The sequence below is a fragment of the Homo sapiens genome, chromosome 4 (assembly GCF_000001405.40).
Source record: "Homo sapiens chromosome 4, GRCh38.p14 Primary Assembly".
NCBI classification, from domain to species: domain Eukaryota; kingdom Metazoa; phylum Chordata; class Mammalia; order Primates; family Hominidae; genus Homo; species Homo sapiens.
In genome coordinates, this window is record NC_000004.12 from 143,968,106 (window position 1) to 143,987,074 (window position 18,969).

The 18,969-nt window shown below is 36.8% G+C and overlaps 2 long non-coding RNA genes across 2 annotated transcripts in view; both read left to right on the forward strand.

The window, feature by feature from the left end:
* Nucleotides 1-1,272, forward strand: part of LOC105377459 (uncharacterized) — a 125,977-nt gene extending 124,705 nt beyond the window's left edge. The window contains exon 10 of the long non-coding RNA XR_001741861.1: nucleotides 1,147-1,272. This is a non-coding gene — a long non-coding RNA (uncharacterized LOC105377459). The remainder of the gene's footprint in view (nucleotides 1-1,146) is intronic.
* The window catches only part of LOC101927636 (uncharacterized), a 70,124-nt gene extending 55,775 nt beyond the window's left edge, over nucleotides 1-14,349 (forward strand). The window contains exons 4-7 of the long non-coding RNA NR_125886.1: nucleotides 2,320-2,433; nucleotides 5,005-5,146; nucleotides 11,745-11,847; nucleotides 13,681-14,349. This is a non-coding gene — a long non-coding RNA (uncharacterized LOC101927636). The remainder of the gene's footprint in view (nucleotides 1-2,319; nucleotides 2,434-5,004; nucleotides 5,147-11,744; nucleotides 11,848-13,680) is intronic.
* The last annotated feature ends 4,620 nt before the right edge of the window (nucleotides 14,350-18,969 follow it).

Here is an 18,969-nt window from a genome sequence, read left to right on the forward strand (position 1 = left end):
ACGAGAAGATGAAATGCTGGGTTTCAGTCTTCTTAAGATTGGTTTCCTGGAGTGCTATAGCCCCTAAAGGTCTCGAATGAGAGTATGAAGTGTTCTCTGTTGCCCCTCTCCCTTAGTGAGTCATGGCCTCCAGTTTTGTCTTCTCAGCACTAAAAGATGTTTAAAAACTCTAATTTGATTTTCAACGGCTGTATGCTTGGCTTCCTAGCCTCTCACTCTAATCAGCTTACTTCAGAAAATGCCTTTATAGGAAAACGACCTTAGTATTATGCTTACATTTTCGCACCTCTCTTCTTTCCAGGCTTGTACTCAGAAATCCTGGCTGCCTTCACAGCATCAAACTATAATTTTTTGTCTACCTCGATTTATGAATGATCAAGAGCTCTCTTAGATTATCTGCCTTTTAGCAGGGGCTGAGGATTATTAATATTCCAGCCCATATTTAGAATTGGCAAATGCCGTTAAGGGTAAGTGACATTCAGAATTTGTCTCACCTTTCTACTTTTCTCTTCTCTCCAGGATCTTGACACCTCAGATTCTTATCACTTTGGAAGCTCTCCCATGCCTTCAAACAAATGATTTTTTTTTCTTTTTAAATTTTACTTTGTTTTTCTTATTGTTCATTGGTTAAATAGCCCCCTCTTGTATACCTCTTACACGTACATGTGGTTTCTTCTACTTACTCTTAGATCAATTTTATTAAATCTGGAGGGAGATAGTAGATTATGAGGACCTAGGCAAGGAGGGTATAATGGACAGATGCCTTGCTTGACCAGCCTCTATTTCTCCTTCTTCCTAATATTATTTATTATTATTATTTGGAAAGCCACTTCTGAGAAGTGGAATGCCACTGTCAGTCCTTGTGTTTTTCGGTGGGATAAACCCAGTTTCTGGGGTCTAAGAATGGGAGGTGGGTGGGTAGGTGTGGCAGGCATGCTACTCAGGCTGGCCCATGACTATGTTCCATCTCTCCTATCAGAGGGCTTGAGTCCGAGAAAGATATGGGACCCTAGTCAGCCCAAAGAGTGTCAGCACCGGACTTCTATGAAAGTTAGTGGGAAAGTGATATTGTTTCCACTGAGGTTTCTCAGCTGGTAGATTTAAGGCCAGAGCTGCTAATGGCCTTTTTTGCCTTTGTACGTGCAGGACCTGTGAGAGAAAGCCGGGGAAGCAGAACCCTTTGATGGAGACAACAGAGTCAGGACAATATTGTTTAAAACTCCTAAATCCAAACATGCCTGAAGCTATAAGTTACTTCTGAAATTTAAAAATTTATAAGTAAATTATTTTTTTTCTCCCTAAGCCACTTTTAGCTAAAATAGGCCTATGTGGAGAGTACCAGTAGGTGTGAGGGAGGGGAGACAGATGAAGTGACATCTCAGGAGAACTCGCTGATTTGATTGGCTGGATATGGAGCGTGTGGGAGAAAGAGGAGATAAAGATAAATGTGAAGTTATTTAAATGGTTTGTGATGCTTTTTAACCCAAAGAAAGATATGATTGATGTAGAAACAACTTTTCCTTTTACATATCCAATCCACATATAAAAACATATTTAAATCATAAACTGTAAGGATGGTAAACTAGAAATTTATGGCTGCTTCTCAGTAGCAACGTTTTTTCTTTAATTATTTTTGGCTTAAAATTTTTGATAAGTTATATCTCTAAGGGTATACAAAATAACTTGTTGAATTTGCAAAGTGCTTTGTAGATTTCAAATTACTTTGGAGTCTGTCATTTGACCCTCACAAGAACCATATAGTAGGTGGGAGAGTTAACATCGTCCCTTATTTACCAATGAGTGTACTGAGGTTCAGAGAGGTTAACATAATTAACTAAGGAAACCGAGCAAATATCTTGGAGGGATGGTATGAGAACCCAAATTTGCCAGTCCAGTGCTTTACCATATATCATTCAGTTCTCCGATTCCTAGTAATTATAGTTACTTATAATCAATGATAAAATTATAGCCAGTGACCAAGTTACCCAGTAACATTCCAAAAATGGCATCACATTTTCATTAAAGCATTATAAAATATATTTAATCAAGTCAGAGCTATTCTAAAAGAATAATAATAACTAGAACGATCTTGGATGACTGGCTTAGCCAGAGTCCCCATGTAGATCTGAGTGCTCATTGTGGGTCATGGCCACTTTCTTGTATCTCAAATATCCTCTGCAATTCTGGAAGGGGGAGAAGGTAAAAATAGGAGAGGACTCTGGCTCAAAGGGGGAGGGTTCTGTAAATTGGAAGTATCACTTTAGATGGTGAAACATTTTCTTGCTAGTTATGTAATTCTGATATGCTTTTAACTTCCAGTTCCTAGGAAAGAAGTTGTTTCAACTCTCATTGGAGGAAGTATAAGGTGATCTCAGGGAAGGGGAGAAGGGCTGGTTGCCTGCCAAATCTATGATCAAGTCGGCTCCACAGTCAGTTGAGTAAACCGGAGCTATATATGTGAGAAGTTTTGGCCAGGAAAAAGGTGTAAATAGGTTAAGTAAATTGACAAGGAACAACATATTGGGTCATTAGTCAAAACTCATCATGTGGTCTACATAACATAAACATCAACATAAATGCAACTCATCTTCCCAAATAGCTACACACTTAATTTTCAAGTGCTAACAAAATGGGGCTTGATTTCAATTAATACTAAATAATTTTATGCCATTTCCAAATTTTCATTTCTTTGTGGGAATGTCGGAAATGTTGAGGCTAATGCAAAGACTTTCTGAACACAAGAAAAGGCCTTACTTTGTATAATTATCTGGTTTGATGTTCTGTTGCTACGTGAAATACTGTTTACATCATGTGGTTTTAGAACCAAAACTGTGTATTGAATTTCATCCAAATCATTTAGTTAAGTCTAAGTTTACAAAGGAAACTAATGATCTGGCTTTATTTCAATGTATTGATTCTGGATTCATGAGCGTGTGTCAAAACGTGATTACATACTCTCTAATTTCTGTACAAGCTCCCTACCCTAAGCTTACCCCTGCTAAGAAATCCTTGGTGTATTGATTCTTCATTTCATCTTAAACTAGTACTTAGGTAAAAATATGATTAGGGCCCTTTTTCTTCACTTGAGAAAAGTGGGGACAATAATTCATGTGATAAATCAATATTATTCCAAATAAAAACAAAAAGCATTATTCTAGAAAGGGCAAAACAATGTTGGATTTGGACAAGACTTTGTGGAACTTAGGATGATTGAAATCTGTCTAGCATCTCAGGTGTCCTCTTCAATTTTGGCAGAGGCAGAGTTGGAAATGGGGAGAGGACTCTGGCTCAAGGTGGAGAGGGGCTTCCACAAATTGGCAAATGTCACTCTACATAGTTTTGAAAACAGAAAATGACCTTGCTTTATAAAATTCTGTGGTTTGATGTTCTGTTGCTTTGTGAAATGCTTTTTAGAATATATATTAGATACCTATATATCATTATATATTATATGGTAGGAAGAGGGGCAGAAAAAGAATTGCTTTCTTATCACTAACTCTCTAACAAAATATTTCCTTTCTTACTTCACCTGAAATTGGGTGCTTAAGGGAGGGGATGGGAAGATGAGGCAGCTGGGAAAGTTCAGGCTGGGTGACAAGAAGAGTAGGAAGAAGACAGATGGTGTTTTTCAGAATAGATGGCCTCTGATCAGAAGTAGAGGCATCATATTGACATTGCCAAAAAGATGGGCTCTCAAGCTCTCTCCTACTGTAGTTTTAAAAATTAAATATTCTTGTCTTATACAAATTAGAACATGTCCTAAAAATATGTTGGGTGCTCAGGTGCTGTACTCATAATGCTCACTACTTAGCAACCTATCTGACACTTTATACCTTACTTGAAGGCCCCAATTACATGCTGATAGAAGTTGCCTTTGATTTTGCTGCAATTTTGTGTATTTCTTATTTTAATGGAATACTTCATATGTATGTTTTACTTCAAGAAGGAGGTAGGATGGTTGTCTCCAGAGGGTAGGGTGTGGGGGAGGGAGGGAATGGGGAGCTGTTGATCAAAGGGTACAAAGTTTCACATAAAAGGAAGAATAGGTTTTTGAGATCTATTGCACAGCAGGGTGACTATAGCCAATAATAATGTATTTATGTCTCAAAATAACTAAGAACAAATTTGAAATATCTTACCATAAAAAATAATGGGTAATCAAGGGGATGAATATATTAATTAGTTTGGTTTAATCATTCCACATTGTATTCATGTAGCAAAACATCACATTGTATCCCATAAATGTATATAATTGCAATTTGTCAATCAAAAATAATATTAATAATTTAAAATTTTTATTTCTTTGTCTTGACTTTATCCTTCTAAGTAGGAATTGTACATATGTCATAGCTAATATTATTTTTTCTTAGTCTTAAAAATACATCTACAGTTTCTCTGTTAAGTGTGATGTTTGTTATAAAGTTTTGGTAGTTAGCCTTTAACAATTTCTTTTTTCATAATTAGCCTTTTCATTTTTGTCCACTTTTTCTCAGGCCAATTCTGGTAATTTATATTGACAATTTATTATTATATGTATAATCATGTAACATATGTTATATATGACAACTTAGAACTTCATATAAAACCAGTTATGTAACTTGTTTCAAATTCATGGTGTTCTTTTATGGATGAGGATATTTTGACTCTCACACACCCAAATACTGCTATATATCCTAGTTGCCTGTTTCTTTTAGGACACCGCTGCTAGTGGTATACAGAACTTTCGCTCTTTTGTGTTAGAGAATTATTCACTTATTAATACATTTTGTATATTTTTTGTTTTTATATTTTTCTTATTTCGATAGCTTTTTGGGTACAAGTGGTTTTTGGTTACGTGGATGAAATACATAGTGGTGAATTGTGAAATTTTAGTGCACTCCTCACCCGAGTTGTGTACATTGTACCCAATGTGTAGTTTTTTGTCCCTCACCCCTCTTCCACCCTCCCGCTTCTGAGTCTCCAAAGTCCATTATATAACTCTATTTGCCTTTGTGTACTTCATAGCTTTGCTTCCACTTCTAAGTGAGAACATACAGTGTTTGGTTTTTCATTCCTGAGTTACTTCACCTAGAACAATGGCCTCCAGCTCCATCCAAGTTGCTGCAGAAGACATTTCATTCCTTTTATGGCTGAGTAGTATTCCATGGTGCGTATATACCACATTTTCTTTATCCACTCATTGGTTGATGGACACTTACATTGGTTCTATATCTTTGCAATTGTGAATTGGGTTGCAATAGACATATGTGTTCATGTGTCTTTTTCATATCATGATTTCTTTTCCTTTGGGTAGATACCCTGTAGTGAGATTTCTGGATCAAACGGTTAGATCTACTTTTAGTTTCTTAAGGAATCTCCATACCGTTTTCCATAGATGTTGTGCTAATTTACATTCCCACCAGCAGTGTATAAACATTCCACTTTCACCAGATCCAGGTCAACATCTATTGTTTTCTGACTTTTTAATTATGGCCATTCTTGCAAGGAGTAAGGTGGTATCTTTTCCTTTGGGTAGATGCCCAGTAGTAGAACTGCTGCATTGAAGGATAGATCTACTTTTAGTTTCTTAAGAAATCTCCATACTGTTTTCCATAGAGGTTGTAATTCTTCTTTTCTGATTTGGATGCCCTTTATTTCTCTGGACTGATGGCTCTGACCAGGAATTCCAGTCCTATGTTGAATAGAAGGGGTGAAAGTGGGCATCCTGGGCTTGTTTCAGTTCTCAGGGGAAACACTTTCAACTTTTCCCCATTTAGTATGATGTTGCCTGTGGGTTTGTCATATATGGCTTTTATTAACTTGAGGTAAGTACCTTCTATGCCTAGTTTGTTGAGAGTTTTTAATCATAAAGCGATGCTAAATTTTATCAAGTGCTTTTTCTGCATCTATTGAGATGATCATATGGTTTTGTTTTTAATTCTGGTTATGTAGTGTATCACATTTATTGATTTGCATACATTAGACCATCCCTGCATCCCTGAGGTGAAACCCGCTTGATCGTGGTGTATTATCTTTTTGATGTGCTGCTGTATTTGGTTAGCAAATACTTTGTTGAGGATTTTTGCATCTATGTTCACTGGGGATATTGGTCTGTAGTTTTCTTTTTTTGTTATGTCCTTTCCTGGTTTGGCGATTAGGGTGATACTGGCTTCATTCTCTTATTTCTATGTGACTGGTATGCAGAGATAAGGGTTTCACCATTTGTACGAATATGCAGTTTTAATGTGAAATATGTTTTTTAGCTATTTGATACTTTTTCTTTCTTAATAAATTGAATGAGTATACACACACCTATTCTGATGCTGTGTGCATTTAAAACCTCATGTACTTTGTCACTCTAGCTTTATATTGCAGACTCCCTTACTGTATTGTCTGGACTTACTTCTGCCCACCACATTGCTTACTCTGTAGGCTCCAGGGGTGAATGCCAGGGATGAGGTAAAATTTTGGTTATATATATGACTGACTTTTTACAAAGATGAAATTAAAATTATTTCTTTAGGGCCATGTAATGTCACCCAAATCATGTTGGTCAAAGAGTACAAACTTTCACTTACAAGATGAGTAAGTTCTGGGAATCTAATATGCAGCATGATGACAATAGTTAATAATACTGTACAGATGTTCCTTGACTTACAATGGAGTTATGTTCCAACAGACTCAACGTAAGCTGAAAATATTGTAACTCAGGGGTGTCCCATCTTTTGGCTTCCCTGGGCCACGCTGGAAGGATTGTCTTGGGTCACACATAAAATACACTAGCACTAACGAAAGCTGATGAGCTAAGAAAAATCACACAAAAGAATCTCATAATGTTTTAAGAAAATTTACAAATTTGTGTTGGGCCTCATTCAAAGCCATACTGGGCTGCATGTTGCCCATGGGCCATGGTTTTGACAAGCTTGTTGTAACTTACAAATGTATTTAATACGCCTAGGCTACAGAATATCATAGGTTAGCCTAGCCTACTTTAAATAAGCTCAGAACGCTTATATTGGCGTACTTGGGCAAAATCACCTAACACAAAGCCTATTTAGTAATAAAGTGCTGAATATCTCATGTAATTTATTGAATACTGTACTGAAAGTGAAAAACAGAATGGTTATATGAGTACTTAAAATGCAGTTTCTACTGACTGACTTTTACACAATCTTAAAATTGAAAAATTTTAAGTAGAGAACTCTCTGTATTGTATCCTTGAAATCTGCTAAAAGAGCAGGCCTTAAAAGTTCTCACTACACGCCCAGGTAACTATGTGAAGTGATGGAGGTGTTGACTAACTTGATATCACTTCACAATATTTACGTATATCAAAGCATTGTAACTCAATTGCAGATTCAGTCACTCGATGCTTGCCGAGTCCAGTTTACAAGAGTGAGGTCTGATATAAAGAAAGTGACTTTTTAATCCAAAGCTTAGCTTGTGGAAAGAAGTCCAGGCTCTTGCCTTTAAAGGCACTGCTTCACTTTTGGGGCAGAAAGCCAGAGCTTTTAAAGGGGAACTTGGCATGAATGACAGGCAGGGAAGGAGCAGTTGGGGGTCTAGGTGACTTGGTTTGTTGCCTTATCTACCCAGTGGTTGAGCTAGTGCTAGACTGTAAGGTGGCTGTGGTCTGGAGATACTCTCCAGATGGGATAGAGTTTCCTGTGGGCAAACTTTAGGTTGTAAATTGACTCTTGTCTCTAGAGGCAATCTTCTGGTGGGAGAGATTTCTGGCTCTGGGGCTTCTAGGTATGCACACAGTTAGATGAGCTTGTCCTGTAGGGAGTGTCTGGTGAAGGGAAGGTAGAGGTTCTAATTGCATTTCTAAAGAGTTAAGTAGGAAGTGGGGAACGGGGCAGAGGAAGAAAGAGAAAAAAACAAAAAAAAAATTTAAAAAATAACTCGTTCTCTTTCTCTTAGGGAAATGGCAGTTCTGGGTTACAGCATCCCATTGTACACAAAACTTGTCTAACCCACGGCCCATGAGCTGCATGAAGCCCAGGAAGGCTTTGACTGTGGCTCAACACATTCAAAGAAAGTTTGTAAACTTTCTTTAAACATTATGAGATTATTTTGCAGTTTTTGTTTTAAGCTCATCAGCTGTCATTAGTGTTAGTGTATTTTATGTGTGGTCCAAAACAGTTCTTCCTGTGTGGCCCAGGGAAGCCAGAAGATTGGACACCCTTGTTGTACACCTTAAATACAGAGTTTTGTGTTTCAATTTTCCCTCAGTTAAGCTGGGAAAAAAATGGCCATACCCAAAAATTACACATAAAATAGTTGGGTCAAATTTCTATTTTAATCTTGAATATCTTTCTTTTACAATAAACTTCTCTCACATGATTTTTTAATAGTTTCAGAGTGTTTCATTTTATGGATATTTCAGAACTCAATAAGTTTCTATTTATTTATTTGGACACTGTGGTAGCGTCTAATTTTTGCTAAATCTTGGTGCACATTCTTAAATTTCAAAGCTGGACTTACTGAGTCTAGTGGGTCTTAAGACATATTGTTATCTGCCTCTCAAGAAGGTTTTGACTCACTTCAAATGAAGTCAAACATCTTCACCATGTATTTAACATTCAAATATTTTGTATGTGTGATTGTTCTCTTAGCTTATTTTTTGAGTTTTCACTGAGTTAGAACAATTCCTTGGTTTACTATAAAAAGAGAAAAAATTCATTATGAGCCAAATGGATTTTGAGAAATACATTCTGAGTTTTCTCTTTACAGAGGTTTTTGTTTTGTTTTTGCCTAGAGCATAGGGTTAACTGGACTAATTTACACTTTTCCATTAGCTTTATCTTATTCAGGATAATATGAGCCAGTTTTCTTAACCCTAACAGGGCATATTTCTGTTTTTTCTTAACTCGTTCTTTTTCTAGTGTATTGCTAAGTTTTCCAATTTAGTTCTTGCCTTAAAAATGACGTTGTCTAACATTATACTTGTAAAATACTGGAAAAAGTTTTTGTCATTCTTGCTGCAGGCAGTCAACAACTCAAGGTAACCCCTAGGTTAGCTGGAAATACATCTTGATTGGTACAGACTCCGGTTTCTAAGTGAATAAGCCGAGAACACACTGAGTGCCTGACGATGTGACATGCTATCATGTCACATGAAACTATCAGAACTTGCTGGGGTTCCAGATTCTGCACTAGAAATTCCTCCCAGTCGAGGGCTTTTTTTCCCTCCTGTGAAAAATAAACCAGAAGAAAGGAGAAGATGTATTTTTGTAATTTAGTTTCATGATTTTAAGGACCAAATCTCAGCTTTATTTCTCTAGAATAGGAAATAGAGATATCGTTGTCATCTTATGTTTTTTCTCACTTGATCTGATCTATGATCTGTTGAAACTTGATCATCTGTTCTTGCAAGTGAGGTTTTGTTGCTACATTTCTGAACTTCAAAATTAGAAAAATAATATCCTGAAGCTTCTAATACTTACAGTTGAGCTGACTTTATATTCTGTTTACACCTACCATTTTACATAAATCTTTATGCCTTTTATTTAGAAGACAACATAAAAATTAAAAGAGAAAAAATATCCCCCATATTCATAATACCTCTCTATGGACTATTCTTTTGTGGGATAAGGTAGGTGGGAGAATGGAAGAGTAGCAGACCCATTAGAATACAAAACATGTAAGTAACTATTATTTTTAAATTGGGGCCACTTGGACACCAAGATATTATTGCCTTTTTAAGAGATGTGTGTTCTAGAGAACTGATTTCCTTAAATCATTTCTGTTTCCAAGTTTCTACTCACAAATGTACTAGTGTCCTAAAGGGCATGAAGGAGATATATATATATATGTATGTAGAACAGTGATACACTAAATATGAATAGTAATATAGTAAATCACTGTTCTTCAAAATATGTATAAACAGAGATATAGTAAATCACTGTTCTTTTATAAACTGGGTCCCTATTCTATTTTTTATCCCCATAATAATATATTTTATAACTTCTGTTTAGAATATTGGCAGATAATAGAACTTGATTTTCTGATTTTCAATTTAAACACTTATCAATCAAATACATAAGTACTTGTACAGGGTAGAGAAAAGTTAATCCTTTATATTATCTACGTATCTCTGAAAGACAAGAAAGTTTCTGTACATTTACAGACTACAAATACAGAAGTTAAAGCAAATGCCTTCTAGCTGGCATAATATTAGGAAAAAAGCAGACTAAAGTATTATAAATTGGTAACAGAAGATATGTAAAGTAAAGACATGATCACCTAGATAGTATAAATCAATTTTCTATTCTTGTGCTGAAGCCTAGACCCCACATGGCAGCCTGATGTAATTCCATTACCATGCTTAATTACTTGGCACTTGTATAGCCTTTTTATTTTTGTGTTACTGTTATTCCTGGTAAATCATTCAGAAGAAATAAATTTTCTTGCCACTCAAAATTAACTAGTATGGTGCATTGCTGCCCCACCCCCCAAAAGATGAGTTGACAGCTACTGGGCATTAATCTAGCCATTTTTTGATAACAGAGTATCTCTTTGCACATAGTTATGAGAGTTATAAACATTCCAAATGTAATTATCTCAGTCCTTTACAACTTGGAAGTCTAATTAAAGAAAGTTTAAGATACTATAAATCTTAAGGAATTAGGTTTATAATGTGGAACCCAGTCAGAGTTTGGGATTACATTGGAAAGTGAGTATATTGAAAAGGATTGCAGAAACATTTCTCTCAGCCAGAATTTAATTGCTCAGAAAACTGAATTTCAGTAAAATAGATGAAAAGTGGTAGGCAGAGAGACTCAGACCTATGACTGCTGAAGAAAGAGCTAATTCCATATCCCTTTTTCTAGATGCCCTGGAATACACTTGTGTCAGTGACAAATGCTGCTTTGCTGTGCTACATCGAGTACAAGGTAGTGATAAGACATGACTGGGAAGCAGTTACCAGAGACAAGCGAGGATAGGGCTTTGACTGCATCCTCTGCTGGTGGCTTCTGTAGTTATGCATAAAATTTATTCTGACCTGTTTACTTTTATAGCCTGTCTTTACTTTGTTTCTTTTAATATTATGCATGTTTAGGCTATGCTTTTTCTTTAAATATGTGAGCAAATCTATTGGTGTAATGTACTCATTACCCTAAAACCTATATTATAATGGACCTGAAGACCATAAGGTAGAAGATCAGAAGAAAAAGAAAATGCATACATTTTTATCTTTAAAACAATTCACTTTTAAGAGTATTTTCTTGAAAGGTATACCTTTGATGGAGCTGAATCTAGTTGCTTCAGGCAGATACAATAGGATACAATAGGATAGGACTTCTTGGGTAAAAAAGGTGTAGTAATCTGTGAGACTCACCGGAAGGAGAAAGGCAATTATGCATTAATTTGGCTGAGGCCAGGGTAGTAAGCAGATTCATTATAAATTCTGACAGCAGAGGAATACTTGAGAAATGCTTATAGTTAGATCATCTATTTTTCCAAGCAATATTCTTCATGTCATTCCACCTTGCAAAAACTTTGTGGAATAGAATAGGCATATGAAGAGCAATGAATAGACTTTGCATTAGATTGGTAATCTTGCTACTAGTACATTAATTTACTTGTATTACTGATATTTTAAGATAGGATTTTTACAGATGTTTATATATTTTTTAAAAGCCTATTTTTTTCTTTACCCACTTTCTCAATTTTTTTAACCTCGAAAACTTTTTCCTCCCTAAGAGAAATACATGGGCTATCTTCAGCACAGAACACAAACTCTGCCTTCTTTTCTCAAGTCCAGTGATTCAAGTTTGACACACCACACCACGGTGGATGTGCCTTGTCATGACACATCTTCTCAGCAGCACTAGAAGATACATCCAAAGTCCTGTGAGCAAGGTAAGCCTTGTAGCAACCCTTTGATGTCTTTGAAAAATGCAAAAATGCTCACCGATCAGGAGCAAAGGGGCCAAAGGAGAGGTATTTCCCCCTCACATGTAGTTTTTATTTTTTTAGCGTATTTTTTGTTTTTCTCTAAATCAAACTCAGACTTACTCTGTTTACACTGAAATATACTGCACAGTGCCATAGGTGTAATCAGACCCAGATCTCAACAATGTGTATGATTCCATACCCAGTATAAATAAGGGTTTAATATCAACTCCATCTCTGAGTGAGAATGAATAGCTCTGAAAAGTCAATTCTTCGTATTTTTCTTTTACATTTGGCCTTGTAATAGCTGTTTTATGTCATTTCCTTTGAGAGCTCTGATACCAAGTTGGAATAGTCCATTATATCCTAGCTCTCAGTCTTTACTGAAAGTTACATGAAAGAAGAGGCCTTTGCCTGCAATTCAGAATTCTAAATTACCAGCCTTTCTTAATTTCAGGTTGCCCCTCCTGGACATGTTGTAAACTCATGCATGGGCTTTTGAGTTAGAAAAATTTGTGTTTGGAACTTTTCTCAGCTCTTGGCTTTTGACCTGGCCAGGTTACTTTTAAAGCCACATCTTCTTTTATTTTATTTTAATTATTTGTCATCTTAAGAATGGGGATAATGAAAGTACCAGCCTCACTGAGTTATGTTATTTGAATGATATAGCCTAAGTGATGAACCTAGCTTAGGGTCTGTTACCTGGGATGATGGTCAGTGGAAAGCCAAGATTTTTTGTGATTTTGTTTATATGCTGCTAGCATATAAAGGAGTGTCTCAAGTCCCATCACAGCTTTCAAAGCTCGTCTTCCTTTTGTCTGAGCAAACACTGAGAAAAGTCTGACAGTCAATGAACTTTAGTACTGAGATGTGCTTAGGAGGTATGGTCGTTGTTAGGTTTGATAATTATCAAAGAGAGTGATTCACTTCTTAGAACCCTGACCTGCAGCTCTAAGGTCCTAAAAGACTGACCATTACCAACAGACACTGCCCTCTAGTGTGCTTGTCTAATTATATGTTAACTATAATTAGCACTTTAAATCTGATAATTACTACCTAAGAAAGTATATTACCTGGTGCAGAGCCTGGCAGAGAGGAAGTGTGCGTTGAATATATGCTCATGGTTTATTGAGTAAATCCAGATCTTTCCTTGGTACTGGGTTAGAACTCTGGGAGCATACCTTTACGGACTTAGCAATCTGGAAACAGCTGGATATCCTTTGGGGTGATCTGGAACAGTTTGTCATTCTTCATTTCTACTAACATTTATTAGGCTTATGTGTAAGCTCTAGAGTTGGCACTCGTAACTTCATTTAATCCTCACACTAGTCCTTTGAGGAACATATTATTCCTATTTTTCAGATAAGAAATTTGAGACTTAAGCAATAAAGTGACTCACTAATAGCAATAATACTAGTAGCAGCTAAGTTGACTATACTGTGTGAACCTGTGTCACACCTTAGCTGCTATCTGGATAGTAGCATGCCTTGCCTAGCATGGATTTGGGGTACTAAACTCTGTACATTCGGTTGTCCCCAAGATCCTTCCTTGAGAGCATATTATTTAGACCTATTCTTATTTTTAGGCTTGGGCCTTGTTGTGGACTAAGTGTCTGTGGCTCCCCACAAAATGTATATATTGAAGCCCTACCCCATGATGTGGCTGTATTTGGAGATGTAGCCTCTAAGGAAGTAACTGAAGTTAAAAGAGGTGATAAGGGTAGAGACCTGATCCAACAGGATAATGTCATTATAAGAAGAGACACCAGAGAGCTTACCCCCTCTCTTTCTACCATGCAAGGACACAGCGAGAAGATGGCTGTCTACAAGCCAGGAAGAGAGTCCTCACCAGAACCAAACCCTGCTGGACTTTGATCTTGGACTTCCCAGCCTCTAAAACTGTGAAGACATAAATTTCTGTTGTTAAACCCACACAGGTCTGTGGTATCTGTTTATTATGGCAGCCCAGTAAGACTAAGACAGGCCATCACAAGACATGAATGTTTTGGACCTTCTCTTGGGCCCTAGTAAACAGAAATCAGGTACGCAAAAGGGGTAAGCATATAATTTCCTTTATTTTTATTTTTAATGTGTAAGCCTTAGGTTTTTATTTATTTATTTGGTGAAGACAATCACATTGTGTACGTACAATGTAATTATATTGTTGACGAGAAGTTACTTAAAATTTTTTAAAAATTCTAATCGATTTCTAGATGTCCAAATGAGAAGATAGCATTTATATACCATCAGAACATAAAATAATTCAAAAAAATAAATTTATAAAACAATATGTATTATATTGAGAGAAAGAGAGGGAGAGAGTATTGGAAGAATATATGCAAATACAATGTGATAATGTGATGTCTTTGTGAGAATGCTATATGTCATTTTCTTTGTTTATATGAATTTTTACAATTTTTACCTTTGAAATATAAAAAAGAGAGAATAAAAGTCATTGAAAAAATCAAAAGTAACTATTTTCATAGGTGAGTAAGTATACATCTTTAACAGAACAGCAAAGAGTCGATGAATGTTCAGAGATATTATATAAGTAACAGATAAGAAGTGTCCTGATCTATGGTATTCATTCTCAGTTGCAAATATATATGCAAAAAACCCCACAAATGAAACCAAAACAACTCAGAATTCTCATGAATGTTGCATAAGTAAATATATTATTTGGAATAAATTTAAATAAGCTACATACAGGATGTCTTTTAGTTGGGTTGCTGAGGTGCCCCATTTTGCTTTTCTGATCGGTATTGTAGAAGAGCTTTAGTTTTGTGGAGTCACTCTCCAGGGAATTATTAGGGTGATGTACTGAGAGATAGAACAGTGGATTTGGAGTCAGTAGACCTGGATGGAACTCATTTATCAGGTGTGTCATTGAAAAAGTCATTGAAGCTCTCAGAGCTTTAGTCTCCTCATTAGTGAAACTAGCATAACAATTCTATGTCCTTTACATGGTTTCATCAGCATCAAACTAAATGAAATAATATGTGCAAAGCTTTGTGACCCAGAGCACTTTATGCTAATGCTAGCCATCATTATTCTGAAGATGACTATTATAATCGAAGTTATATAAATTAAAGAAATGTGACAAAAGTTGTTCCGCTGAAAATGTTAACTCTTGCTGCTATAGTCCTAATTGTGCTGGTGCAAATCCCTTTAAATATTCTTAATTTCTGGTCTGATCTTAATTAATGGATACCAATGTAGGGTACTCTGGATTTTTGGCAGACAGTAAAACCTGGGGTTCAGGAACAGCAATGTAAACAGGCTATATGTTTGCAAGTCCCAACTTTCATTTATTTGATATTTGTCATGAAAATCTATATAGTGCTTTCAGTGTTCCAAGTCCTGTGGTTACAGCAGCAAGTAAAACAAAATTCCTGCCCCACCGGAGCTTACAATCTAATGGGAGGAGGGAGAGGGCCAATAATACAGTAGAAAATGAATATATAATAGGTCAGTAATGAATATGTGATATATGAGTATGTGATAGAGCAATAAATGTAGTAAGTGCTATGGAGAAAAAATAAAGCAGAATAAAGGAAAAGTTCTGTAGGTCAGATGTGCAGGCAGCAGAATCTGAGATGGAGATTGAAGTCAGGAAGTTCATTCAAAGTCTTCTGAGGAAGGAAGTAGGGTTGGGTAGAGAGAGAAGATGGGTTCCAAAGCAGGCACAGTTGGGCCTCTGCCGACTCCATGGGGAACTGGAAAGCAGGGATGGGCCTTCCGATTGCCTTGACTTGGGGTATGGAGGCCAGGCCTTTATATTCCTGCAATGACCAGAAATTGGATGCAAGTTGTCCTTTGGGAAGGGGACTGTGACCTTGGTGACATGACTTTCCTCTGCTGAGGGCAATTCCCAGAGAGGGCTGACAGTAGTGAGCTTCCAGCCAGTAGCACTGTGTTCATTACAGGTGTGTGTGTGTGTGTGTGTGTGTGTGTGTGTGTGTGTCTGGGAGACAGGAGGTGAGATTGCTTTTTTTAAAGGATAATGAAGGGAGCCTCTCTGAAAACAATTTGGGAGTAAATGTGAAGGACATGAGGGAGGAACCTCATGAAATCTGGGGGATAGCAAGTAGATAGATATCTGGGGGAGAATATTTCTGAGGAAGATACTTTTGAACTTCTTTGGATTTTTTCATATGGATTATCTATATGAGTAATGTCTATGCTCATCTACTGCTTTTCCAGTTGTGCTTATCATGGTAGTAGTGATAATAGTAATAACAACAATAATGTCATTTTTACCATGTAATTGCAAGCTTTGCTTTAGGAACTGATGTAAATCTTTCATCAGATCTTACTAGAGAATTAATTAGCTAATTAGTTAATTTACTTATTCATTCAGTCACACAGTGAGTGTTTATAAATGCCCACTGTATGTCAGTTACTATGTGAAGTGCAATGAACACCATGGTGAGCAGGACGAGTTAGTCCCTGAGTTTGAAACCATTAAGGTGGGGAGACTGACAAATGAAATAGGCAATTAAAAATACAGTGTAAACAGTGGTCCAGTGTAGTTAAACAAGGTAAGGAAGGTGCAGCAGGGAAACACTAAGCCAAAGAAGAAACCAGGTGTATGAATAAATAGGGAATGGCAGATTAGTAAAGCAAAGTGAAAATGAAGCTTTCTTTGAATTGGGGTGGGATGGGGTGTGTGGAACAGAGGTGGGCAAAATAGGTGAGACAAGTGGCTCTGGAAATGAAACCAAGTTTTGTTTAGTGACCTCTTACGTTGTCAGATGGGGTTAAATCCATAAGGGTGTATAAACATTGGCCTGCTATGTAGAAAACACATGTTTCAATGGCAACTAAGTTGTGAGAGAGGTTTTCATTGCTAACGATGGGCTCCTAGCATGAAGAGATTCAGGTAAATCCTGCCTCGAGGAGTGGGCTGATATCTCTGATCAGAGCTGGCTGCAAGCTTGAGTAGTGACAATGGTGAGATCTCCAAAAGTGCCAACTCCTACCACCCAACACCCAGGAGAGAATAACTTCTGACTCCCCCGTCACAGATCCTGAGCTGAGCTAAACAACCTCTTCAGTTCTCGCAGTCCACCTCTCTCCCCCGCTACTGCCCCATTCATGCTGCAAAGATGTCACAGGACTGTCTACTTAAAGATTACCTTTCTAAAGCAGAGTTGACTCTATGTATTCTGTAAAGGCAATTCTGCTTTTTTGTTTTTTTTCAACACTGACCCAAGAACACTTGGATATAAACAGTAATATCAACATGGTCAGGAAGGGGGAAATTCCACTGGCTTTCTTGTTTCATTTAACATTCTTTGACTTGGGGGTGATATTAAAAATATAAAAATATTATAGAACATTTTCAAAGTCAACTTGCTTTATAAGTCCCTTCAAAATTTTATTTGTCCTCTATGTTCATAGCAATTTTAAAGTGTTAGTCTGTAAAATATTGTATCTACATGTACAGCTTTGTTTTTGATAGTCACTTCTAGAACAGATTGAAAATCAGTCAGGAAAATTCAGTAAGACCGATTTGTGGTTTATGTATATTCTTATGTAAACCTGAGATTCTCACATTTGTCACTAATAACAGTAATAAAATAATTAAAGACAAATGAGTTAGTATTTTATCATCTAAAATTTCCCCCTTTTTCCTGAACTTTCTTACATTTCTAGAAAATAGTTAGAAGGAAGTCTGACTGAGACCTCAGGGCTTATTGCCCCAAGTAAAAAGTAGGCTGAAAGAAAAGTTAAGTCATTGAAATTGATATCTACATTTACTTTCCCTTTTCTTTGTACTCTTTCCTCTTGACTTTAAATTCTTTTGATTCCAGAAGGGAGAAAACTTTGCTAATGCTCTGCCAAGCCTCACTTTTCTGTCATGATTGGAAGGTTTGATGTTAATTAGACTTACTCATGGAAAATGGAAGAGCTGCTGCATTACAATGAAAGCCATCTTTTAACAGCCTGAGTTCCTTTTTCTTTTACCTGAGTCAGGAACAAAAAATATTCATGTATATTCCCCAAAAGGACAAAAAAGTATCCAATGAAAGGGCTACCTTGTAGAAAGGTCAGAGCATTTTAGTGCTAAATGACACCTAAAATCACTCTCTCTGCACACCTTATATTGTAAAAGAGAAAGTTAAGACCCAGAATAAGATCAAGAGTTTTTCATTGGTCGTTACAATATTAAAGAAGTTTTGAAATATATGTCTAGCTTTCTCACATCTATGTGCTGATTAGACCTCAGCCAAAGACTTCAGGGGAGCCCTCTGCAAATTTCTAGAGTTCTTTGTGCAACTTTTCCTCTTGGGTTCTCTGACTTGCAAACTCAAACCGCCAGGCTTTTCCTAGAATCAGCTCTGCCTCCTCATCTCAGAGAGACCCTGCAGTGGGGCTTGGGAACCCTCCAGGCTGTGAGCTGGACAATGGAGCTCATCTCCATTTTGTTTGTTTCCTCTCTCTTGGCAATCACTCTTCTGTGCTACTGATGTCCAATGTCTGAAATTCATTGTTTTCATATCTTTTGTTTGTTTGCTTGGTGTCATTTCCTGCAGCAGGGTAAATCTGGCTCCTGTTGTTCCATCTGTCCTCCAGCAGCTTCCCATACAGGCAGCTCACTTCACTTCATTTTCAATTTTAATGACTTCTGTTCTTTATTACGCCTTTTGTCTACTTTTATTTTGTTTTGGTTATTCTTCTTGTTCTTTTTCTAACTTCTTGAGTTCATATTAAGTTAATTAGCTTTTAGTCTTTCTAAGTCAATTACTGAATGTTTTGAACTTTTCACTTTATGTTACTTTATATATGTTAGGCTATTAAACTAATCCACGTTCTAAACTGTTATTGCTACTGGAAAATGGTCCCGATCCAGACCCCAAAAGAGGATTCTTGGATCTTGCACAAGAAAGAAAGGGTGAGTCCATCAACTGAAAGCATGTTTATTAAGAAAGTAAAGGACAAAGAATGGCTACTTCATAGGCAGGGAAGTCCCGAGGGCTACTGATTGCCCATTTTTATGGTTATTTCTTGATTATATTGGTATGAACAGGAGGCAAGGAAATATTGGGGAGAAGGGGGCGGTTCCCTGGCAAAGACACCACCCTCA